The sequence below is a fragment of the Homo sapiens genome, chromosome 1 (genome assembly GCF_000001405.40).
Source record: "Homo sapiens chromosome 1, GRCh38.p14 Primary Assembly".
In the NCBI taxonomy this organism is placed as follows: domain Eukaryota; kingdom Metazoa; phylum Chordata; class Mammalia; order Primates; family Hominidae; genus Homo; species Homo sapiens.
This window is the reverse complement of record NC_000001.11, coordinates 223,534,486-223,558,935: the sequence shown is the minus strand read 5'-3', so window position 1 is coordinate 223,558,935 and position 24,450 is coordinate 223,534,486. Positions and strand designations below refer to the sequence as shown.

Here is a 24,450-nt window from a genome sequence, read left to right as displayed (position 1 = left end):
CACATGAACATCATGTATTACATATCACACACATCACATACTGCACACACTATACACACTACACATACACACCACACATATATATCACACACACATTTATACCACACATGCAGCACACATACTACAAGCACATGCATACCACATATTACATACCACACACACCAAACACACCACACACCATATGTGCACACCACACACATCACACATCATACAGTACACACACAGTACACCATTCACACACACCATGTACATACCGCACACACTCCACACAATCACACAGCACACACTCATACCACATACACACTATATACATACCATTCACACATACCACATACATATGACACACACACACACCATAGCACACACAACATCTATGCACACCTGCAAGGGCTGTGGGCTTGCTGGCTTAGCCCCCAGAGGACATTTCTACAGGGATCACCCTTCTGGGGAATTCTCTCCCTACCTTACCCGTTACCACTTTTGTCCCTGGGAGTGATCCATCAGGGTGAACATTCTAGAATCCTTGAAGGGCCAATGGCACTGGGAAGCTCTTGTCTCTGATGAAAAACTCAGGGTGGGGTGGAGGTTGAGGAGGCAAGGGAGAGGAATCTTGGCTAAAGATTCTGTTTATGCAGTTTTTAGTAGGAAATGAGGTCTGGGGTGCGAGCCCAATCTCTCAGGAGGGTCGAAATCTTCCTAAAACAACCCAGCCATTAGCTGTACTTTTTACTTACTCATGTTTGGTTTATTTCTTTCTTTGCATTTCAGAGAAATTGGGGATGTGGTAGCTGGAAACCCATATGAGGTATGCAATCTTTTTGTATGCCAAACTCTGACACTGTTGCATAGCAGTCATTCCAGGTTTCTTCTTGATTTGTCAGAATCTTTATGTATTAAGGATGATAACTTCTTATTAGTTAGGGCCACAACATTTTCTAGTCCCTGTCTCTTCCTGATGAAGATGAGACAGAAGTAGCCCTGGAACCCAGGCTTTGTAATATATCCCTACCCCCTGGGGGAGGTCTTAGCCATCGTCTTCCATGTTTGATAAGCAGGACCCACAGATAGAGCACCCACTGTGCCTAAGCTGTCCTGTGCGAGATAGAGAAGTCCTTGAGAGAATAGATCCAGTGTCCTGCTCTTGGATTGACCTCCAGTCTTTTGGAGGACAAATGATGAAAGTATATGTGAAAGATGAAGAGAAGAACACACCAGAAAACCCATCTAAACTTGAGTATGTGTAGTCTGAGGGGTGCTGGGGGAGTGCCTAGTCTGGGAAGGCCCCATGGAGGAGGTGAGTTCTGAGCCGACTTTGGAGGAATAAATATGTAGGGTTTGAGGTGTGGGTTCACCACCTCACTCCCTTTATTCCTCACTGTGTCCTCAATGTACTGTCGTTGTTCTCAGATGGTGGGTGTGGCGGATGATGGGTATATTGGGTGCTGCTGCTCCCTGAGAGCCATGCTGTGTCTGTGGCCAGTGGGCACTGGCCTGGGTGGGGCAGGACCACCTTCATGGGGGCACAGGCCCAGCTTCTACCCCTCCGTCCAACACTGACGTGTCTCTGGCTGCAGATGCCACACAGAGTGCTCCCAGCTGCTGGGCGTGGCATCTTCGGCTGAATGGAGGTGGGGGCAGACACACACACACCCATATACACACCACATATACAAATCACATATTCTGTGATTTGACATGTGTCAAATTTACAAGCTCGTGTTTCTGCTGATGCATGAGATGGTGCCAAATAAGGATCCATCTTGCCTTGGGGGTTTGTGTTGTGAGTTTATCAGATAGAAAATGCATGCCCCATGTCTATTTTTTCTTATTCCAGTTAGTTTCTGAACTGGTGTGACTGCTTCCCTGTGCACTGTAGTTCAGCCAGTGGTCAATAGCGCCCCCTGCCTCGAGTTGGTGGCAATACCTGGCGCCAGAGGCCCTTTCTGTGCTTGTGACTCTTGGTGATCTGAGCTGGGCAGAATTTTCCCTCCTACCCCTCGCCTCAGTTGCTGATGCCAGCTCAGCCTTCTCACTGCCCCCAGGAGGACTTATCGCTCACGGTGGCATCTCTTACTGTGGGTCCCAGGCATATTAGAAAGGCTGCGGTTTGCCAGTGTAGAGTATGGAGCTGAGCCTGAATTCAGGTGCTAAGAATTATCTTCTCTCCTTTTTTGGATGGGAAGGGCAGGGTTCTGCTAAATCAACTTATACTGATCCTAAGCCCCTCTTGCACCAGATTGGCAGGAGTTCAATCCTAGTCACTACTGGGGCTTCCCATCTCCACGTCCCATGATATTGGGGTTTTCTAAAGCTCCCAAGCAACAGGAAGTCTCTTCTGGTCATGGGTCCACATTGGTTACCCCTGTGGTCAGCTCACAGGTTTCTTTATGACTGACAGCTCTTGGGCTTCTGTGCTCAGCATGGGGCCTAGAATCTTTGATGAACTGGGAGTCCTCAGGCCAATGGTCCAGCCTCCCCTTCTGAGGTACTAGGACATGGCTATGGAGCCATTCAAGGGTTCCCATATCCCCAAGATCCTGTAAACTTTCAACATCTTCTTGGTCTCAGGGAGACCCTGCTTTTTCTCTTTAGGGCACCACTGTGCTGTGACTGACACACACACACACACACACCCCAGAATACACAGATAATGTCCTCAGGGGACTCAGTACTTTACAGAAGACAGGAAGGACTATTGCCTTTAGGAACTTCTGTTTTATTCCCTGCAGAAATCTCCAAGTCACGGACAGTTGGACATTCAAAGAGCATAATCACCTGCTCTGAATGAGGGAAGGAAAAATTACAGGGTGAACAAACACACTCTTGGAATTTAGCCGTGTTCACTTTGAGCAGGGTTGTAAAGACATTCCCAACATGTGATATAATGAATAACAAGAAAATAATTCCTTGCGTTTGCCATGCTGCCATACCATTTGCAAAGCATTTTCATATAGATTGTATCAGGGAAATAGAAAATTCCACTATAGTACGTTCCTTGAGAACAAAAACTACGCCTTGTTCACCATTGCATTCACACGCAGGTTCTGAACAGTTCCCAACATGGGCCAGGTGTTCAGTAAATCTTTTTTTGAATGGACAAATTGTGAAGTACCACAGTTGCAACCACGTACACGTTTTCCTCATTCCCAATGTCCAAAAATTCCCTTGTGTCCAATGATAACTCCCAGTGACGGGATGCCTGCTATGTGCCTGTGTGTGTCCATATCCATATACTGTTTTGTTGTTAGTTTTTATATGCAATTTTATGTTTTTCCCCTATGCAATTTTATGTTTTTCCAGACATGGAGAATATTACTCCATGTCTGGAATTTATGGACATCCAAGATTTTGGCATACTGTATTACATGAATGATATAATGTTGTTTTCCCTATAAAACCACTTTAAAATCATATATGTGTGATGAGATATGATGTGTTTATCATTTTTTCTTCTAAAAATCTAGATGTATTTTTAGATTAGCATATCTTCTATGTAAACAGCATGGTAGGCGTTAATATCCTCATTCTGCAGGTGAGGAAACAGCCCCAGAGAGGCTGAGAGTAGTCGGATGCAGGGAGCATCTTCTCTGACGATCATTCCAGAGGGTGGTGGAGAAGTGCATGGGCTGGAGTTTAATCCTGGCTTCACTGTTTACTAGCTGTGTGATCTTGGCCTGTTACATAACATTTAAAATGAAGTAACATTTAAAATTCCAGTTTGTCCATTGGTGAAGTGAGGACAGTAATGAGAGGAACCTCACAGGACAGTGGTGAATATTAAATGAAATAATCCACGCAAAGTACCTGACAGGTAGTAAGTACTCAACAAAGACAAGTATTATTACTACAGTGGTTATCTTTATGAGTACAGCATCATCAAGCTATATTGGGCCTTTTGTACTCATCTTAGTGATAGTTTTGAAAGAAATTAACCCGGCTTTCTAGAAATTTCGTGTCATCTGGGAAGCTGTCACTTTTCCATTCTGTCTTGTGGTGACAACTGGGCATTGTCCTATTTTGGGCAGAGCCCATTGTCACATCAGAAAGTCTCTGGACAGAAGCATTCATATAATGGTTTGTAATTTCCAAAGGACTTTGACCCACATTAGCTCTCATTTGATTCCTAAAATGGCCCCATGAAAATGGTCTGGTTAAATCAATAACAGAGTGGAGGCCATGGATGTTCAGAGCCCTGAGATAGTGTCCAGTAAGGGTACAATCTGCTATTTGAACTCCAGTCTCCTGGCTTCTAGTTCTACTCTTTCTACTAGGCCATGTTCTCAACACTTTTGAAATCATGTTGCTCTTCGTGAATCTGATGAAAGCTAAGAAAATGTTTTTTTTTTCTGATATAAGGTCTCGCTTTATCACCCAGGCTGGAATACAGTGGCACAGTCTTGGCTCACTGTGGCCTCAGCCTCTGAAGTAGATGGGACTACAGGCGTGCACCACTACACCCAGCTAATTTTTGTATTTTTTGTAGAAATGGGGTTTCACCGTGTTGCCCAGGCTACTATCGAACTCCTGGGCTTACGTGACCTGCCCGCCTCAGCCTCCCAGAGTATTAGGATTTCAGGTGTGAGCCACTGCACCCAGCCAAAAATGCATTTAGATATGACCCCATGTTTTCACGCAATTTCTGGAGTTCAGACTCCCTGGAAAATTATCAGTGATTCCCTTAGGAGTCCACAGATTCACACCAAGATTTTCTGGTGTCAGTGTCATTTTCTGAAAGTTGTTCAGGTTGTAATCAGAAATTCAGGGTTGGTGGGGCTCACTTCCCCAAATCACTTAGAGAGAAAACTGCTAGGCCCCAGCGCTGCCTCTCTGCTCATCCCTGCTGGACTGTAAGCTCCCTGGGGCCAGGACCTTTGCTGTCTCTTGGTTTGCCACCATGTGCCCCCACTTAGCCCAAAGCCTGGCACATAGTAGGTGCATCATAGATACTAATGGATGAAGGAATGAATTTTAAATCTTCGTCTTTCATTCTCCTTGACGATTCCCATTTTAACTTTGCAAATGTCCTTCTTTTTAGCCACATCCCAGTGAGGTGGATCAGGAAGATGACCAGTTCAGGAGGCTGTTTGAGAAGTTGGCAGGGAAGGTGAGTGGAGGGCGAACATGGCTTCCCAGGTGGGCAGGAGAATATTCAGGAATGCTCAGGTCACTTCATTCTTTACTCCCTGAGGTCTCTAGGCATAAAAAGGGTGAGACTCAGGTCTCAGGGGCCCCCAGCTTCTGTGCCCATCACCATCCTGTCTTAAGATTGAGTACCTTTCCTTCATCACTTGGGAATTGGTCCTGAGGCTACTTATCTTGCTGCGTTGACTGACTCTTGAGAAAATAGAAAAGCCAGATCTCCAGGTCCTGCCAAAAGCCTTTCTGTTTGCAGATTGGCCCTGTCAGATTGGGGTCTCTGAATAAAAAGCTGGGATGGCAAAACCTCTCCAAATAGATATCCTTCAGAGTGAGGATTGCCCAGCCGCAGTGGAAGGCAGCTCAGCTAACCTGGCTTGGGATTAGTGTGCAGGACTAGCCCTGTTCCCTGTCACCGTCCTGCAGCCCTGCCCGCCCTCTGGGAGACCAGCAGCCTGAGGAATCCAAGCTTTGCCCGACATGAATGCAACTTGGGCACTTGGAGCAGAGAAAGAAGCGACCCCTGATCCTTCTCCCCTGCCCTGGCTTCCGTTCACTTTGGTAGCAGCCCGGTGGGGGCCACAAGTCAAAGCATAACCAGGACTTGAAATGTCAAAACCGGCCCCATAAATACAGCGAATGTGTTACTCTTTGGAGGATAATAAAGTGTGTGAAAAGGGCCCGGAAGAGGAAAAAACAATGGTCTCCCCCCACCACCCCGGGAAACTCAGGGTGACTTTCTAGACTTAAGGATAAAATAGAAGAAAAGATATCAGAATCCCTTGCAGGAAATAAAACCTGGGAACAGTTCCTTTGCATAGCCATTGAATAAAACCCTTGCAAAGATGAGCCAATTTATGTTTTAGATGGATTTACAGGCCAGTATTTTTGCTAACAAAACCTGTTTCCTTAGCTGCCAAGGGCCATATTTTATTAAGAACACCAAGAATGATGAAAGGAAAAGCTCATATTTGCATAGTTCTTCATGCACTTTATCTTACCTTTCTCTCTGGCTGCATGGGGCAGTATTGGTCACTCTCCTTGCTCGGCTTGTAAAGTGGCCTGCACAGAGAGGTTAAGGAGCTGGCTGAGGGTACAAGGCCTCATGAACGACGGGGTCAAGGTCCAAATGTAGACTCTTGACATCCCATTTCTTTCCTGGCAGGCTAATGGGGGTAGTCTTCTAGCCCCAGAGGCTTTTTAAAGGGGCCTCAAGTCTTTTTTTTTTTTTTTTTTTTTTGAGATGGACTGTTGCTCTGTGACCCAGGCTGGAGTGCAGTGGTGCACGGCTCACTGCAACCTCTGCTTCCCGGGTTCAAGCGATTCTCGTGCCTCAGCCTCCCGAGTAGCTGGGACTGCAGATGCCAGCCACAACGCCTGGATAATTTTTGCATTTTTAGTAGAGACAGGGTTTCGCCATATTGGCCAGGCTGGTCTCGAACTCCTGACCTTAGGTGATCCACCCACCTCGGCCTCCCAAAGTGCTGGGATTACAGGTGTGAGCCACCGTGCCTGGCCCAGGTCCTCAGGTCTTATTATTGGGACTGACCACTCTGTGCTGGGGTGAGGCCAGTTGTCCTCAGAGGAGACACTGCTTTGTGCAGCTCTTGCCTCTCTCATTTCCAGTAGAATTGCCAGGGCCTGGCTAGCGGAGGATGGGAAGATGGAAAGTGACTCGGCTAAAGTCACATGATGAATAAGGGGCTGAGTTGAGACTGGGACCCAGACATCAGCCCAGCACGCCTTCTCTGCATTTCCTTGGTCATCCTGCCTGAGATCTGCTCTCCATCTGAGAGTTAAGGGATGACTCTTCCCTCTGGCTCAGTGTTTATCCCAGATGCACACAGAATATGCTATTCTCTCAATCTCTGCCCCCAGTTTGAGATGGGCTCCTATGTGAAATACCAACTCCTGTAGGTGTGGTGGGGAAAGCCGGCACTTTGGGGTGAACCAACCTTAGGTTTCCAAGTCTAGCTCTGCCTCTTGGTAGCTACAAACCACAAGCAATTACGTCACATGAAAATGACAAATGATGTTGCATGTATACAGTGTTCAGCAGTTTACAAAATCACGACTTCCTTAACTTGAAAATGGCTGTGGAATTGTGCTGAGGATTTAAGGATCTTCCACACTGGCTCTGGCACATCTGGTTCAATCCTATCACTGCTGTTCCTGTTACTTTATCCCTGTTCAAGCGAGCCCTGTGAAAGGCAGCAGGACCCTGGCATGGCAGCCTTCTGCCACGGTGTGTACCACACTCATGGCACTAACACACCTCTGGCCAGGCTGCTGGGATCCCCAAAAGAAGAGGATAATTTGAGTTTTTAAAGATGCCACCTGCTTTTAAAATCACAGGGCCAGCCGGGCACGGTGGCTCATGCCTGTAATCCTAGCACTCTGGGAGGCTGAGGTGGGCAGATCACGATGTCAGGAGTTCAAGATCATCCTGGCCAACATGGTGAAACCCCGTCTCTACTAAAAATACAAAAATTAGCCAGGCGTGGTGGCACGCATCTGTAGTCCCAGCTACTTAGGAGGCTGAGGCAGGAGAATTGCTTGAGCCTGGGAAATGGAGGTTGCAGTGAGCAGAGATTGCGGCACTACACTCCAGCTTGAGTGACAGAGTAAGACTGTCTCAAAAAAAAACAAAAAACAAAAACAAATAAACCTCACAGGGCCAGTGGGCCTGGTGTCTGACTGTGAGGAAGCACTGCATTAATTTACTGTCTTGAAACAACTTGTCAGGGCCTGACATGATTTGCATTTGGGTTCCTCTTTCTAGGATTCTGAGATTACTGCCAATGCACTCAAGATACTTTTGAATGAGGCGTTTTCCAAGAGTAAGTTCCTTCTTGGGGTCTTTCAGAAAGTCCGTAGGAGATGCTGGGGCAGGGTGAGGGATGGGTAGGCAGGCATTGGGCTGGCAGCACCACAGGTGGGAGAAAGGGCATTGGTGTCTGACCCCAGGAGCCCTGATTCAGTCCAGCAAGACAAGAGGGGAAGAAGGAGAGGCAGAAGACGGGGAGGCGAGGGTGGAGGTGAAGGCGGGGCTGGTGCTGGCAAGCAGCCAGCACCTGAAGGAACAAAGCTCCATAGTGTCAAGTGAAATTGCAGGCTGAGTCCCAGGAGAAAAAGAGCTGGGCTGGGATTGACTTAAGTGAATTTTTTTCACAAAATTAATAACTTGGATACTGTGGAAACCTCTGCAGATGAAAGATCTAGTTCTGTAGCTCATCTTGAGGGAAGGAGGAAGGAAGGGATGATTCTGACTCTCCTAGACTGTCCTCAGTTCCCCATCTTCAGATTTTTGCAAGCCTCAGAGCTGTCAGGAGGAAAGATTTGCATCTCCCCTCTGAGCCCCAGCCCACAGGAGGACACAGGGAGCTGGTTTCTTTCCGGGTCCAGGGATGGGCCAGGTTAAGTCTTCCAGTGAGTGATGGGCTCTCATTCACTCACTGCAGCAGGACAGGGCTTGAGAATGCAGGAAGCAGGGGCTTGGCCCAGGAGCCAAGTCATACCCTTCCCAGGGACGAACCCAGGGCTGAGCAGATGGATCCCCAGGGCTCGGAGCACAGGCCCGTCTCCTCTCCACACCACTCTTGCTCCTGCAGTTGTTGAAGAGTGGAGAGAAAGAGAAGGGGTTGCAGGGTCTTTGGCACCTGTCTTGGCTCCCAGGTATATGGAAGGTGAGGGTGGAGGCCAGGGATGGAGCTCCAGTGACATGCCTGCAATTTAGTAAGGAAGGATAGCTGCTGTCATTGAGTGGCTGTGTGTTGTGATTACAAGCTCAGGCTGTGGAGCTGGCTGGCCTGCATTTAACTCCTAGCTTTGCCCCCTACTGGTTGTGACCTTGAGCAAATCATATAACCTCTCTGGGACTCAGATTCCTGATCTATAAAGTGGGTATAATGATAGCATCTACCACACGGAGTGATTTTGAAGAGTAGATGTGCAGTGCTTATAACAATACCTAGCCATATAAAGTTAGCTGTTTTATTAAGAACTTATCATATATCAAGCCTGGGCTAAAACTTCACTTTCATTATCTCAGTTAATACCCAGCCAGTCTTTGGGGCAAGTATGGTCATTGTTACTATCATGATTATTCCCATTTGATGGAGGAGGAAATTAAAGCTCAAAGATATTAATTTGCTGAAGTCTGTGGCTTGTGGGGAGCCAAGCCAAGGTTCAGATGCTGTACTTGGATGCTGGTGCTTGTCTGTTCTATCTCCCACGGCACCAGGAGGCTCAGGCGTATCTGCCCACAAGCCTGCCATGATGCTCTCCCCTTTTGGCAGAGACCAAGTTCGGTTCCACACCCTTGGATGGTATCTTTGGAGGTCTTCTACCGTGGAGGTTCTTTCCCTCACCTTCAAATGATCCGATTCCCACTCCCCTTTTCTATTTAAATCTTTAGGAACAGACATAAAATTCGATGGATTCAACATCAACACTTGCAGGGAAATGATCAGTCTGTTGGATGTATCCTTTAAATGTTGCATTATTTTTTTTTTTTTACTTTCGTCCGGTTTTTAAAGACTCCTCCACCTTTTCCAGTTAGAAGGAAGGGACGGGTAAAAAATGAGAAGGGGAGAGAGCAGGCATGGAGCATATGTCAAGGATTGTACTTGAAGCCTCAAAGGAAAATGTATCATATCATGGATGTGTCTCAGAAAGCTTGAGATTATCTCCGTTTCACAGGTGAAGAAACCGAGGTGTGCAGTGTTTAGGTGACTTATTTAAAATCATGTAATCTGGAGGTAGCAAGCATGGGGCATTTGCGCACCTGCTCCCTCCACACTCTGTTCATCTCTTCATCTTCCTCCTCCCCTTCAATTCTACCCGTCCCCACCCCCACCCTCTACCGTTCCCTGCTTCCCAAGCTCTCCCCATCACTATCTGATCTTTGCTTCAGAATCTTAACATGGCTTGTGGACAGCTACTACTGATAGTTTAGAGTTATCACACAAGATAAAATCTATTTGTTCTCCCTGATCTAGTTTAACCCTCACTTGATATTGAAGTATGGTGTGTTAGGCTGTTCTGGCTGCTGTAACAGGAGACCATAAACTGGGTGGCTTATAAACAACAGAAATTTATTTCTTACTCTTCTGGAGGCTGAGAAGGCCAAGATCAAGGTGCTGGTAGATTTTGTGGTGGATAAGGGCCAGTTTCCTAGTTCATAGATGGCATCTTCTTGCTATAACTTCACATGGTAGATGGGGTGAGGGAGTTTCCTGGGGTTCCTTTTATAAGGGCACTAATTTCATTTCTGAGGGTTCCACCCTCATGACCTAATTACCTCCCAAAGGCCCATCTCCTAATATCCTCACATGAGGATTGGGTTTCAGCATACAAATTTTGGAGGACAAAAACACTCAGTCTATAGCAAATGGGCAGTAGTTTTTGGGAGGAATGGAGAAGGTCAGGGCATTCTAGGTGGAAGGAACCTTCTAGGTGTGAAGGCACAGAGGGTGAGTGGTGTAACATCACTTCCTTAGAGCTTTGCCCACAGTGGGTCCAGGTTGCCATTTATCACAGTGCTGATGGTGAAGGTGATTTCTTTAAAAATTGGAGCCTTGGAGGGTTTTTCTCAGTTCCTTGGGGCCTCATCCATGATGAGCTCTGTCTGTTCATCCATGATGATCTTTACTGTGGGTTCTTTCATTAACTGCGGGACGGGAGGAAGGATTTTCCTTTGCATGGTTGTCATGCAGAGTGGTCCTGGATGACAGAGCATGTGTGCCCACCTCTGCGTGGCTGATCCACCATGGAGGGCTGGTGCTATCTTTTGGCCTCTGAGCTTCAGTCGGCCACTCCCTGCATGAGGCTGGGGCTCTTTAGCCCTCGTGTCTTTTCTCCATGCTTGACAATTTAATTTGTGGACTGCAAGGAACTGTTAAGTATTGATTCACTTTACTGCAAATAGTTCCCTGGTTTCTGAATCATTCTCATCAAACCCCATCTGTTGACTTCAGTTTAGATTTGAGAGTTGCCTTGTAATCTACCCACTCTTTATTCCCAATGGTATTTGTGTCTCTCACGGTTCAAAGAGGAGTGTGACTCTCTGCCACTCTTCAGGAGTTTCTGTTCCACAGTTTAGGTAGTGTGGGGCAGTGGTTCTGAATCAGCAGAAATACCCATGGAATCCTTAAAAAAATAACAACTCTATTGAGATATCATTTACACACCATACAGCGTACTCATTTAAAGTATATCAGGCAATGGCTTTTGTGTATTCAGAGTTAAGCAACCATCATCACATAATTTAGAACATTGTCATCACCCTAAAAAGAAACCCTGTACTCCTATTACCAGTCGCTCTCCATTTCCCCCAACCTCCACGACCATCCCTAGGCAACCACTAATTTACTTTCTGTCTCTACAAATTTGTCTATTGTGGACATTTCATATAATGAAATTATACAATATGTGGTCCTTTGTAATTGACTTTTTTTACTGAACATGATGTTTCAATTACTATAGCATGTATCAGTACTTTATCACCCATGGGGTGTTAAAAATACAGTTTAAAAATACAGTCTTTCACATGTCCTACAAAGTGCTAGAAAAAAAATTTTAAAAATTGACGGGGCGCAGGGGCTGATGCCTGTCATCCCAGCACTTTGGGTGGCACTGGTGGGCAGATCACTTAAGGCCAGGAGTTCGAGACCAGTCTGGAACACAGTGAAATCCTGTCTCTACTAAAAATACAAAAATTAGCCAGGCGTGATGGCACATGTCTGTAATCCCAGCTACTGGGGAGGCTGAAGCACGAGAATCGCTTGAGCCTGGGAGATAGAGGTTGCGGTGAGTGAAGATCACACTGCTACACTCCAGCCTGGGTGAGAGAGTGAGACTCTGTCTCAAACAACAACAACAACAACAACAACAACAACAACAACAACAACAACCACAAAACAAACAAAAACCCCTGATTCCTGGAGATCCTGATTCCATAGGTGTGGTCTCTGCAAGCAATTTTATCTGGAATTGAAGACCACTGGTGTTCTGGGACAAAGGTTTTGAAACAGACAGGGGTCCAAATTCTGGCTCTACCACTTATTGAGGTGTATAAATTTGAGGAAGTTACTAAATGCTCTGAACTTCAGTTTCTCCTGGAAAATGGGATAATTATGTCTAGCTTGTGTGGCTATTGTTAGGATGAAATGAGATACAAGTATGTAGAGTACCTAGCCCCGAGTGTTAGCTTCCTTTGCATACTACTGTTCTGAGATGTGTTGGTTGAATTATTAGTAAGGATTTGAAGGCTATGATGCATTCAACACTCAGTGCGGATTATAGATCCAAGAACACAGACTTTCTTAAAGTATGAGGCTTACAGGACTTTTTGTTTGGCTAATTAAAGTGATAGTCTGTTTTAGAATTCTAATTATTTATTCAGAGATGGGGTCTTATTATGTTGCCCAGGCTGGAGTGCAGTGGCTATTCACAGGCATAATCTGAGCTCACTGCAGCCTCAAACTCCTGGGCTCAAGCAATCCCCCTGCCTCAGCCTCCTGAGTAGCTGGGGCTGTTTCAAAATTTTAACATTGGTGCTGTAACATACGCACTGTTTATTGATTAGTTGTGACTGGTGAGAAAATTGTAGAGTCTCTAAAAAACTTAACTTTAGGAGCATAAGTGCATTCAAAACTAAATCCCTATTGACTAGCACAGCGTTAAAAAAAAATAGTCGTGGCACTTTGGGAGGCTGAGGCAGGCAGATCATTTGAGGTCAGGAGTTCAAGACCAGACTGGCCAACATGGTGAAACCATCTCTACTAAAAAAAAAAAAAAAAAAAAAAAATTAGTGGAGTATGGTGGCGGGTGCCTGTAATCCCTGCTACTTGGGAGACTGACATGGAGAATTGCTTGAACCCTGGAGGCAGTGGTTGTAGTGAGCTGAGATCACACCACTGTACTCCAGCCTGGGCGACAGAGAGACTCCGTCTCAAAAAAAAAAAAAAAAAAAAAAGTTGTGGAGTGAATGTAAGTTGGACACAGAAAATCCCTCATAATATCCTCCTGTTTGGTTGTATAGTGGCCTATGAGCAGATTCTGTGGCTTAGACTCCCAGTCCCATGGTTCCTGGCTCCTGATGTCTTTTCCCATAACATTTTGACATTCCAACAAACTCTAATTAGCTGAATGATCAATCACAGAAATGTAAATGTAGAAGCGAATTTACAGATCATACAGCTCCACCCTGTAAATAAACCAGGATGATTAGGGTATTCACGATATTGCAGATTGGCCAGCTCATGACTTGCCCTTTGTTCCTAGCTCTGTGCCTGGCCTCAGAGGAGAGCCTTGGTGCACGTTTGACTTTTTAATCTTTATTTGAACCTGTTACACACCGTCACCCCCACTGCTCTGCTTGCCACAGACATGGAAGGTTCACTAAGGCCTTAAGGCACTCATGCAAGCTCACAAGAGAAAGAAATCTATAAGGCATGTAGAATTTGGACTCAATCATGTTGGTCTTTAATGTGCCTAGAGCAATGGAACGGGCACTTTGGGGGCGGTGGAATTCAAGACGCTCTGGCTGAAGATTCAGAAGTATCTGGTAACTCTCTTTTCCTTCTGGGCATCCTCTCCTCTGTTCTAATCCTCCCTTACACTCATTCCTGGTCCATTGTATTCTGACCACATCCTTAATCATGGTCAAAACTATTGAGTCCTGGGCACATTGGTCATGAAGGAACAAGAAGGCAATGAGAGACTCTCATGCCAACCACTGCCCTGAAAGCCCTGCTGTTCAGACAGCAAAGGGGCCAGCACTGGCCAAGCTCTTATGCTTGCTCTGAAACCTTCTTGGGAGGAGTCAATAGGGTCTCCTTTTGAAAGTGTCCCTGGCCTTTTGAGAAAGCAGTGTGGTGGAGGGAGATGGTTCTGGCAGGGGCCGTGAATGGTTGTTTTCTACTTGGGATTTCTTTCCTGCTTTAGGAGATCTATTGGGAAACTGATTATAACCACTCGGGCACCATCGATGCCCACGAGATGAGGACAGCCCTCAGGAAGGCAGGTGAGGACACATCCTGTAGACAGGGTCTTGGGATCCAGGTGTGCACATTGTAAATATTTATTCTCATGATGATGATTGCTAATGATCATCATTTGTAGCTTTCTTATATGGGATATCAAGGCAACAACAGAGCTTTGTTGAGTACCTTCCCTGTCCAGGAAGGGGAGAATATTGCTCGATTCCATATAGCATAATATTTTAGAATTTTTCCAAGATCTCTGCCTGTTACTGGGAAGGTGACAGCAATTACAGAGGAAGGGGCTATGAAGGAGACAGACAGGAACTGGCCAGACAGGCAGCCCCCTCACCTTCTCTGCTTTTGCTTGCTGATGTGACCCATGGCTGAGTTGGTGCTGGTACTAGCGCTGGACCTGGAATTAGGCTGATCTTGGTGAGGAGTAGCTACAAGGAGAGGGATGGATGGCAGGACACCTTCTGGGATCCCCTGGAGAAGGCAGAGTCAGGCCTGGTTTGCAGATTGATACAGAACCACAGAGGGGCCCCTGGGATGTCAGCTCCTTGAGTGTTTATGGGAGACAGTGCTGAGTCCTCCACTCTACCTGTGACCCAGGCTCCCTCTGCCCTCAGGTTTCACCCTCAACAGCCAGGTGCAGCAGACCATTGCCCTGCGGTATGCGTGCAGCAAGCTTGGCATCAACTTTGACAGCTTCGTGGCTTGTATGATCCGCCTGGAGACCCTCTTCAGTGAGTCACTCTGTCCTCCAGCCCCATCCTATTAATCCCAAGGTGCAAGGTGGGGCAGGGGCAGGGCCAAGGGGCAGAACCAGACATTGCCTTTAGGAGGCCAGGGACCCAGAAAATGATAGACAGGGCTTCTGGAATGCTGGCACCTTGGGGGCGAGGGGCAGCTGGACCTGAAGGGGCTGAGGAAGTCCAGGCTGGCCAGATCCAGGACGGAGGATGCCTTTTTTGGAGACTTAACAAAGCTGCCATCCAGACTATTGCGCATCTACAGTGTGCAGTCACTAGGCCAAGATGAATGAGTCACAGTAACTGTTCTTAGATGGTGTTTAGTGTCTATTTATATTTGTTTTTCAATAGGGATCATATTGAGAACATGTGCCACCTTCCAATGAAGGGATGGGGGGTGCCCTCTGAAGGCAATAGGCGTTTTTCTGCCATCTTGGGCCTTGAGATTAGATATCTTATTAGGAAGGGATTTTTCCTTCCACTGAGGTTTGGTAGGTGTTACGTTCTAGTGGGTCAAGGTCAGTTAGCCAGAGACAAAGCTAAGGGACTGGATTACCCACAAGCAAGACAACCACAATCTGTTTGACCTTGATAAAGTAATTGCACGTTTCTGATATAAAGCTTCTGAGGATGGAGATACCAAAGGGACCATCTCTGCTGGCAACGGGGTTTGTCTGTTTCGGCAGGGGGGCATCTGATCCCCCAAAAGCTCATTGTGTGCCCTGGATCTAGCTTTTTGAGGCCCCTGGGCCTAGGTGGGGGCTGGAGGGGAGGGGGTGGTAGGGGAAAGGAGAGTTCCGCAGGTGGGGATGGGGTAGACAGAGGCAGCTCTCTGATTGTTCCAAAGTCCAGGAACAGCCTTATCTAATTTCATTTCCTTCTCTGGTGTTTTAGAACTATTCAGCCTTCTGGACGAAGACAAGGATGGCATGGTTCAGCTCTCTCTGGCCGAGGTGAATGTCCTGAGGTTTGATGAATTGCTGGCTGATGGTACTCTGAAATTCTTGGACCATGTAGCTGCCAAGTGATGCTTATTCCTGTTGGCTGTCTTAGTTCCATGTGAATACCATGCATGTTCTGTGGCAGGCACCCAGCAGGGAGGAAGGCAACTGTTATACAGTTTTCCAAACATTTTTGTTTATTATTATTATGATCGTAAAGATAAAGCTACAGCTACATTTCAGATAATTTCGGAGATGCAAGCCCTTGTTAATTTGGATGGAGTTGTGGGTAGTGGGCACAATATAAAGTGTCTGGCTTCTAGGACCAGCTGTCTTATATGGACCTATGGAAGGATGTAGGAAACAAAAATGAAATTGCAGTGGGTAGAATGAAGATGCAAAATGAACAAGTGTTTTTACTGTGTACAAGTCACATAATGTTTTTGCAGAAAAAATCAGAGTACTTCCCCCGTGGACACTGCACCCCTGTACGACAGAGGCCTTTACTGGCCAGAGGGGACAGCAGGAAGTGTGGAGATGTCTCCAAGGGTCCAGGCAGGGGGAGGCATTGGCCTTTGACTTGATTCTGAGGCGGTGGAACTAGAGGGCCAGGTTATTACTGGCTGTGCCCCATTGTCTGTGCTTACCCACTTTCTTTTCTTCTCTAAAGTGGGAATGCTATTGACCTCTTTCCTGTAGCCCAGGAAAGGCCTTCCTAGAAATAGACCTGTGGATTCCCACAGATACCTGGACAATAGTGTGGAACCTAAAATGGAGTGTGGTTGTGTGGGTGCATAAAATATACATATATACACACACAAATATGCACATATAGGAATATATATATATACACATATAGAAACAAATACATATATAGGAAAAGATATGTACACATATATAGGAATCTATAGGGATATATATATACACACACATATATAGTGTATATATATGTGTGTATATAATAGTATACACTATTGTGTATATATGTATGTGTGTGTGTGTGTATGAATATACATGCACATACCTATTTTTGGAGCTCCCTTTGGGTCTAGAGCTTTTTCTGAGTCACATTTCTGTAGTACCCTGGTTCAGGAGTTAGTGATATAGTGAAAGCCTTCCTTGCTTCCCATGTTTGAGCAAGGCACTTACTGGAGAATGGAGATAAAAAGATCGCACCCATGTGAGGCAGGAGAGCATCAATGGTGAAAGCACACCAGCCCCTGAGAAGCCAAGACTCAATCTTGTCCCTTTCCTTTGCAGTGGCTGTGCTGCGTGTTGGTCTGACCCGGGGTTTCGGACATCAGTGACACTCCCTGCCCCACTGCTTGCTTCTTGTCACCCCTTCTCTACAATTTTGTGAACATTTATGCTCCAGTGGCATTCACTGGTTGTTCATACCTTTCTTGCCCTGGGTCTATTTCAGCAGCACTGAGCTATGAGCTATGTAAGCCGACCCGGTGGGCCCAGTGGAGGGAAAGCAATCAATTAAAGTTGTGAGCCAGAATGGTTTCCACCTTTCTCTCGTGATATGCTATCTGGGCTGTATCCTGGGCTTTTTATGCTTTGGGAAAGAAGATGTTCTCGGGAAATGGCACAACTCAAAACTGCTGAAAGATACAAAGTGTAGGTTAATTTCTCAGAGGAGAAGTCTTCTGTGGACCGAGATGCATCCGGAGGCCACCTTCAGGAAAGGAGCCCAGGAAGGGGGCAGGGATGGGATGCTGGGAGAACAGGGCTTTCTTCCTTATTTGCAGACATGGGAGACTGCTGGACTGTACTGAGGAGAATTCTTACCTGGCAAATAGCTAGAGGGGAAAGGCAGTTCAGGTTAGTTTTGCTCACAGCTGAATGCTGGCATCTCTGTTGTTAGTAAGAAAATAGATGGCACAGCCATGGTGTCCCTAAGGGAGGAATGGGGACAGGGCTGGTTGTTCAAAGCAAACTCTATGTCTGCATAGCTGGTTGTTCTATGCAGACATGAAATATCAAGGAGAACACACACACACACACACACACACACACATGCTTTGGCCCTGGATCAGTCTGATTGATTATGGATTAATTTTCTCTTTCCGGAAGTAGATCTAGATGAATGTTCCTTATAGGAATATGACTCTTAAGTACGGCAAGCACCAGTTGGCTTCAATGCTGCCTTTCAGTCTCCCAAGACCCAGTCGGGAGGAAGGGGCAGGCCCTTAACTGAAGACAGGACGTAAAAGCTCTGGGCTCTCACTGCTCAGGGAGGGGCTCTGCCATCGCACCACTGCAGGGAGGGCTCTGTTAATCTGATGGGAGAGAAAGAGGTATAGTTGTTTTAGCAGCCTGCGGGTCCCAGAAGAAAAGGGGTCCTTCCTCGTCCAGTCAGGGATAAGAGGGAGAAGCTTTGTCAGCAGGACTCAGCAGGTGTGTGCACGGCCACACTCCGGCTGCCTGGAGAGGCCATGCAGCCTGCTCCTGTGCCCAGCTGGTGTGATTCTCATGCTCATTGACATGCCGACCAGGTACAAGTCTTCACTCTATTCACTGTAGAGGACCAAAACCAATTCTCCCTAAATAGAAAGTGCTATGTTATAATCAACTTGAAACAGGTAGTTTCATTTTGAAGCCCCGCAGGGTTCAACTACTTGAGGGAATAGTCTGGTAATAAATAAAATACTATCTCATTACAAAACATCCTTTGCTTTCAGGGTCCTGGGTCCGAGGTAAGGACTGTTCTGAGGACTCCTTACCAATACAGCCCAAGAAGCAGGTTAAAGATCCTAGCACTACATTTTCCCTCTCAAACACCTGAGAGTGTGCCCTTTGCTTCCTTCTCCCCCAAGATGAAGGCAGTGGGAGATGATGCTTTTAGTCATGGCCTTGTCCTTCCCCCTAGATGTGGCTGCATCTCAGGAGAGCTCAGTGTCTCCTGGAATCCACTGCTCCCACAGCGCCCTGCACTTCCCCTCTGGGAGCCGGCACCACACTTTATTGCATTAACATGTTGACTTGCTTGTCTTCCCCGCTCCAGATGGATAGTCTGTGGATGCAGAGATGGAGTTTTCTTTGTTCCCTCAAAGCCTAGAACAATGCCTGGTGCAAAGTAGATGCTTAATGAATGTGAACTCTGTCTTTCCCTTTGCAGAAGAGGAGGCTCTGTAGACTGTAGAGCAGGCGCCTCTCTGTGCTTTCCCAGCAGAGAGGATGTGTTTGCACTGGTCCCTCACAGATGACACAGTAGCCCCTGGCAGCAGAAGCCCCAGTGGGGACTGCCATTGAGGTGCAGATTCATCAAAGCTGGGTCTCTGTTGGCAGGGAGGTGCTGGGGGTTGAAAGGCTGTGGAGCTCTAGGAGGAGATGTGGCCCCTGCAGGGTCTCCTGCTGAGCCGGTCCCTCCCCAGTCTTCTCCCCACCCTGACAACGCCAGGAGCAGAGAAAGCCGTGGTGCCTCCCATGTCATGGGGTCTTTGATTTGTGCAGAGAACCCCATGGATCTCTGATTCCCCCAGTGGGAGTAGGGGTGTGGTGAAGTCAGCCTGGAGTCACGGGGGTCTTCCTCTTCCTCTGTTGCCCTCCCACCCTCCCTAGCCTTCAGAATCAATTCGTGTCACCTCTTAAAGGCACAGTTTGTTTCCTTACTAGTAAATAGGAAGAAACACAAGACACCATGCAAGTCCCAGACTCATCTGAGACCTTCTGGAACACGGAAGCTGACATTTTGGTGAGAGGTGTTTGGGGCGTCCTAAATATTCTAGGTAATTCCACCACAACAAGACCATCTTCAGTGAGCTCCAGTTTCCTGCCGAGAGTCATGGATTAGCTTTCTCCTCACATCCACCTGCCCAGGCAGGGCTTTTTGTAATTATGCACAATCACAGAAGCAGCTTGGAGCAGGGCTGGGAGAGCCAGGCAGACAGCCCATCCGCAGGCAACAGGAGGCTCTTCCTGGCCAAGGTCCTGGCAACAGCCGTGTCTCAGCAGCCCGGCTCTGCGGGGTTATGCACAAGGGCCCATCACAACTGGCAGACAGGCTCCCGGCCCACCTGGGTGGTCTCTGTCTGGCTCATTGGCTGGCTTCTCTCTCATACCAGCTGTTATTCTGAGTTGGGGCAGGCTCAGCCTGCCAGCTTCTTCGATGTCCAGCATCTCTGCAGCCTTGGGTGTTCTCATTCCCTCTGAGCCCCAACCCCTGTCATTGCTTCTAGCTCTGGCTCTGGGATGTGGCAGTTCCACCATAAGCTAGGCTACCTCTTCTCTGCTCTCCTCTCAGTCTCCCAACCATGTCTTCCATCCATATGTTAACCCTTTCCTTCAATTTATGTATGAGGTTGGCTGACCTTGAGAGTTGACATCATTGATGGTAAATAACCAAGATGCCCACTGACCTCTCCACTTCAGAAAAGATAGCATCAGAAAGAATCCACTTAGAGGTGGAACCCTCTGCCACCTTTTCACTTTCTCTCTCTCTTTTTTTTTTTTTTGAGACAGGCTCTCGCTTTGTCACCCAGGCTGTAGTGCAGTGGTGTGATCTCAGCTCACTGCAGTCTCTACCTCCTGGGCTCAAGCGATTCTCCTGCCTCAGCCTCCTGAGTAGCTGGGACTACAGCCATGCACCACCACATCCAGCTAATTTTTTGTATTTTTGGTAGAGATGGGGTTTCACCACATTACCCAGGCTGGTCTTGAACTCTGGGACTCAAGCAATCTGCCCACCTCAGCCTCCCAAAGTGCTGAGATTACAGGTATGAGCTACCATGCCTGGCGTTGGTTATAAGTGGTGTGACTATGGAGGCCATCTGTGTGTTACAATAAGTGCTATGGCCTGAAGATTTGTGCCCCCAGTCCTGAATTCATACATTAAATTCTAACCCCCACTGTGAGGATGTCTGGAGGGGGGGTCTTTGGGAGGTGATTAAGTCATGAGAGTGGAGTCCTCATGAATGGGATTAGTGCCCTTCTAGAAGGCACAGGAGAGCTTCCTAGTCCCTTCTACCCTTCCAGGACACAGTGAGAAGATGGCCCTCTATGAACCAGGAAGGGGGCCCTCACAGACACCAGATCTGCCAGTGCTTTGATCTTGGACTTCTCAGCCTTCGAAACTATGAGAAATAAATTTCTGTTGTTTATAAGGCACCCAGTTTACAGTATTTTGTTGCAGCAGCCAGAACGGACTAAGACAACAAGGATGAAGTGAAGCATCCTGGATATCCTCTGCCTGTAATCCGGTCTGATGTGCGGCACTTCATGTCCGAGCTTATCCATTTGGTTTTGGTCTTTGGAAAAGACAACGTTAGTCACTTACTAGTGGCAGTTGCATGGAGAAGAGGGCTCACTAATGGGGGACAGGGTGATCATTTGGAGTTTGCAAGCTGTGAAGACAGATGTTGGCTCTTCACAATTTTGGAAGGGTTCACTAGTTAAGTGTAGGACCTTATGGGGGATGGAAATAAGGCAGAGGCATAGTTCTGGCCACTGAGTTCCTTAAGGTCTGCTGAAGGCTGCCGATGCGTCTCTCACTCCCTCGTTATGCTCTGGAGCAGAGCCAGGGGCTGGAGGAATGAGGGAAGATCCTTTCATTAACCACCATCTGTTGACATTTTTCTTTGTGAAAACATTTCTATTATATTTATGTCTTTATATTTAACATGTTTATTTCTATATAAATTTTTTTGTTTATTATGTACTTATCAAATTATATACAAATTTATATATTTATTTATGTATTTAGATATTATTTATTTATTTGAGACAAGGTCTTGCTCTGTTGCCCAGAGCTGGAGTGCAGTGATGCGATCTCAGCTCACTGCAGCTTAGACCTTCTGGGCTCAAGTGATCCTCCCATCTCAGCCTCCCAAGTAGCTGGGACTGACTACAGGCATGTGCCATCACACCCGACTATTTAAGAAATTGTTTGTAAAGACACGGTCTTGCTATGTTACCCAGGCTAGTTTCCAACTCTTGGCCTCAAGTGATCCTCCTTCCTTGGCTTCTCAAAGTGCTAGGATTACAGGTGTGAGCCACTGCATCTGGCCCAGATATTACTTATATTACATAAATCTAATATAAGTAAAAGTAAAAGAACAGTATATTGAAGCCCCATCATTATGAATTAGGACAGAGTGAGACTCCATCTCAAAAAAAAAGATTTTAATATTTTATCATACCTATTTTGTCATTTTTTGCTGAAGTAAATCACAGATACCATGACATTTTACCCTCCATTATGGATGTCTAGGAAAGGACATTTTATGACACAACCACAGCACCATTCTCCAACCAAACAGAATTCACAAGAATTCTTTAATCATATCTAATAACCAATCTATATTCAAATTTCCTTGATTGGCTTCAAAATATACTCTTACAGTTGGTTTATTTGGATGAGGACTCAAAGAAGACCCCTAGCTTGCACCTTTTAATCTAGAGCAGTCTTCCACTTTCTCCATGCCATTGAGTGATTAACAAATAATTGTACTTTTAAAAAAGGGCTCTGGCAATATGAAATGTGCTTTACTTGTTTCTCAGTCTAATTAAATCTCACACGGAATTCCCATTCTACCCAGCTTCCTCCCTCTCCCCAGGGCTACACAGAATGATTTACAGGGACAGCAAAATGGGAAAAGGATGTCTAATTTTCACTCCACCCTGGTTGCTGTCGAAGCCTGCCTGTCCTTGGAGGTGACATCTCCTGCTCCAGCCCCGTGGACTCCAACACTAACTGGGCTGGGAGCCGCTGCCTGGGTGTGGGAACGAGTCTCTGCTGTGGGCCTCTTTTTCCTGGCCTTTAGGAATCCCCCCTTCCTCTGAATCTTTCCTCCCCGATCACTCTTGACTCCCTCCCAGAGCTTCAGCTTTGAGAGAAGAAAAATCCCAAAGGCATTCTCCTCAGGCTGCCTCTCTTGGTCACAGTTGTCCCCTGAGGCCAGAGAGCACACAGCTTGACCACCCGCTCACCTGACCGCAGAGGGAAGGAAGCTGGAGTCCTTAGTGAATTATCCTGCCCATTAAAGAAGCAGCTCACTGGTGGAGAGAAGAGAAGAAAAGAGAAAGTTTACACTCCCTGAAAGGGCTCCCCTGGGCTGAAATTTCATTTCATTCATTCATTCACTATTAAAACATTTGATTGCTGCTTCCGCCCCCCTTCAAAAAGATGTCTACGGATTTCCTCAACTGTCATCTTACTTTCCCTGTGTCTCAGTTTCCTTATTGGTAAAATGAGATAGTAATAGATATATACCTTATAGGATTGTTGTCAGAATCAGTGAGACACTGTACAAAGGCATGCAGAAAGTGCCCATTCCCCAGGAGACTCGCCATAAATATCGGTGATTATTATTGCTTTTCTAGTTATTGTTAGAAGCAGAGTTCAGGTCTTGTTAGCATCTATTGAGCCTTGTCTGCTGGGCTTCCCTTTGGTCCTGATCAATTTTCAATATAAGATAGAGGATCCTGAGGTTCAGAGATATTCTCAGAGTTGTATTATCAAGTGTTCCTGTTGGCCAGTGGGGGCAGGGCTGTGCTAATCCTGGCCTATCTGAGCCTCTGAGGATGCCAGGCTCAGGGGAAGGGCATTGCCAAAGAGAATCAGCTTCTCAGTTTCCATGGAAGGGAATAGCTCTGTTAGTAAAAACAGAGGAAAGCAGATGGAAACTCGCCGGGATTTTAGAAGGTTCTGCGGTTCTGTGTGTATTATAAGCCTTCAATTTAGGCGTGTTGAATTGAATTCAGTTCAACAAGGAAGAGAGGATTAGGAGATGAGAGGCATGATCTGGTGATGAAATTCAAGCCAAAAATCATCCCGCAGTCAAAATTATCCTGTGTATGCTCTGGAAGGGATTGCCGGGGAGTCTGTTCCAGAACTTCATGGATACTAATGAGTGGATTTGCACAGTGGATTTACCCAGCAGGCATGGACTGCTCCTGTTTGGCCCTTCAGCTTCTCCTGGCTACCTGAAATGGGAACCCCCACCATCCCAAGGGGAGCGGGCAGTCTTTCAGGGGATGGAGTCACTGTCTTTAATTCTACTCAGTAATTCAGTCAATAAACATTTCTTAAGCACCAACTACATGTCAGGCTCAGTGTTTGCACGGGGAGTTGCTGAGAAGAGATGCAAAGATGAACAAGTCCTTGCCACCAGTAAGCTTGCCATTGAATGGAGGAGACAGGCCCATATACAGGTAGTAGTAATTTGAAACAGCATAACGTAAGTGCTGTAGGAGATGTACAGAAAAATCAAGCCAGCCAAGAGGAGAGAGAGGTTAATGCTGACTCAGGAAACAAGGCAGGCTTCATGCAAGATGAGTAGAAATTTGACAGGTAGAATTTCACTCATTCATCCAGTAAATATTTATTAAGCATCAGCTATAGTCTAGGTACTGTGCGAGGCCCTGGTAAAGGAGAGGGAAAGGTATTCCAGACAGAGGGAACAGCATGAGAGAAGGCAAGAGGATAGGATAAACTGGAGCCTGCATGGGGAAGCCCACAATCTTCTGGAGGAGGTTGAGCTTCACCTTGTCTTTGAGGCCATCACTGCAGCCCCAAAAGGATAGCCTGGGCCAGGAAGCAGTCGTCTTCCTTGCTTAGTCCTGTCTTCTGTTCCATGATCCTGTCTATGTTACCAATGTGTAATTTTCCTTTCTATATCAGAGAGAAAT

The 24,450-nt window shown here is 46.6% G+C and overlaps 1 protein-coding gene across 3 annotated transcripts in view, besides 2 other annotated features; it reads left to right on the top strand.

Annotated features, from left to right (window-relative positions):
• CAPN8 (calpain 8) overlaps positions 1 to 17,320 on the top strand; it is a 124,086-nt gene extending 106,766 nt beyond the window's left edge. For all 3 annotated transcript variants that reach the window (NM_001143962.2, XM_017001265.2, XM_017001266.2), the window contains 9 exons: positions 769 to 805; positions 5,036 to 5,104; positions 7,919 to 7,976; positions 9,554 to 9,618; positions 13,637 to 13,705; positions 14,086 to 14,164; positions 14,753 to 14,869; positions 15,770 to 15,828; positions 17,077 to 17,320. In NM_001143962.2, coding sequence (NP_001137434.1) covers positions 769 to 805; positions 5,036 to 5,104; positions 7,919 to 7,976; positions 9,554 to 9,618; positions 13,637 to 13,705; positions 14,086 to 14,164; positions 14,753 to 14,869; positions 15,770 to 15,828; positions 17,077 to 17,100 — 577 coding nt within the window. In that variant the 3' untranslated portion in view covers positions 17,101 to 17,320. The remainder of the gene's footprint in view (positions 1 to 768; positions 806 to 5,035; positions 5,105 to 7,918; positions 7,977 to 9,553; positions 9,619 to 13,636; positions 13,706 to 14,085; positions 14,165 to 14,752; positions 14,870 to 15,769; positions 15,829 to 17,076) is intronic.
• Positions 7,671 to 7,730: an enhancer, noted in NCBI's record as "active region_2590". NCBI's record gives its function as "activates an Ori minimal core promoter by ATAC-STARR-seq in GM12878 lymphoblastoid cells {active_cell/tissue: GM12878}" and the evidence as "EXISTENCE:reporter gene assay evidence [ECO:0000049][PMID:35858748]".
• Positions 8,131 to 8,180: an enhancer, noted in NCBI's record as "active region_2589". NCBI's record gives its function as "activates an Ori minimal core promoter by ATAC-STARR-seq in GM12878 lymphoblastoid cells {active_cell/tissue: GM12878}" and the evidence as "EXISTENCE:reporter gene assay evidence [ECO:0000049][PMID:35858748]".
• Positions 17,321 to 24,450: the final 7,130 nt, after the last annotated feature.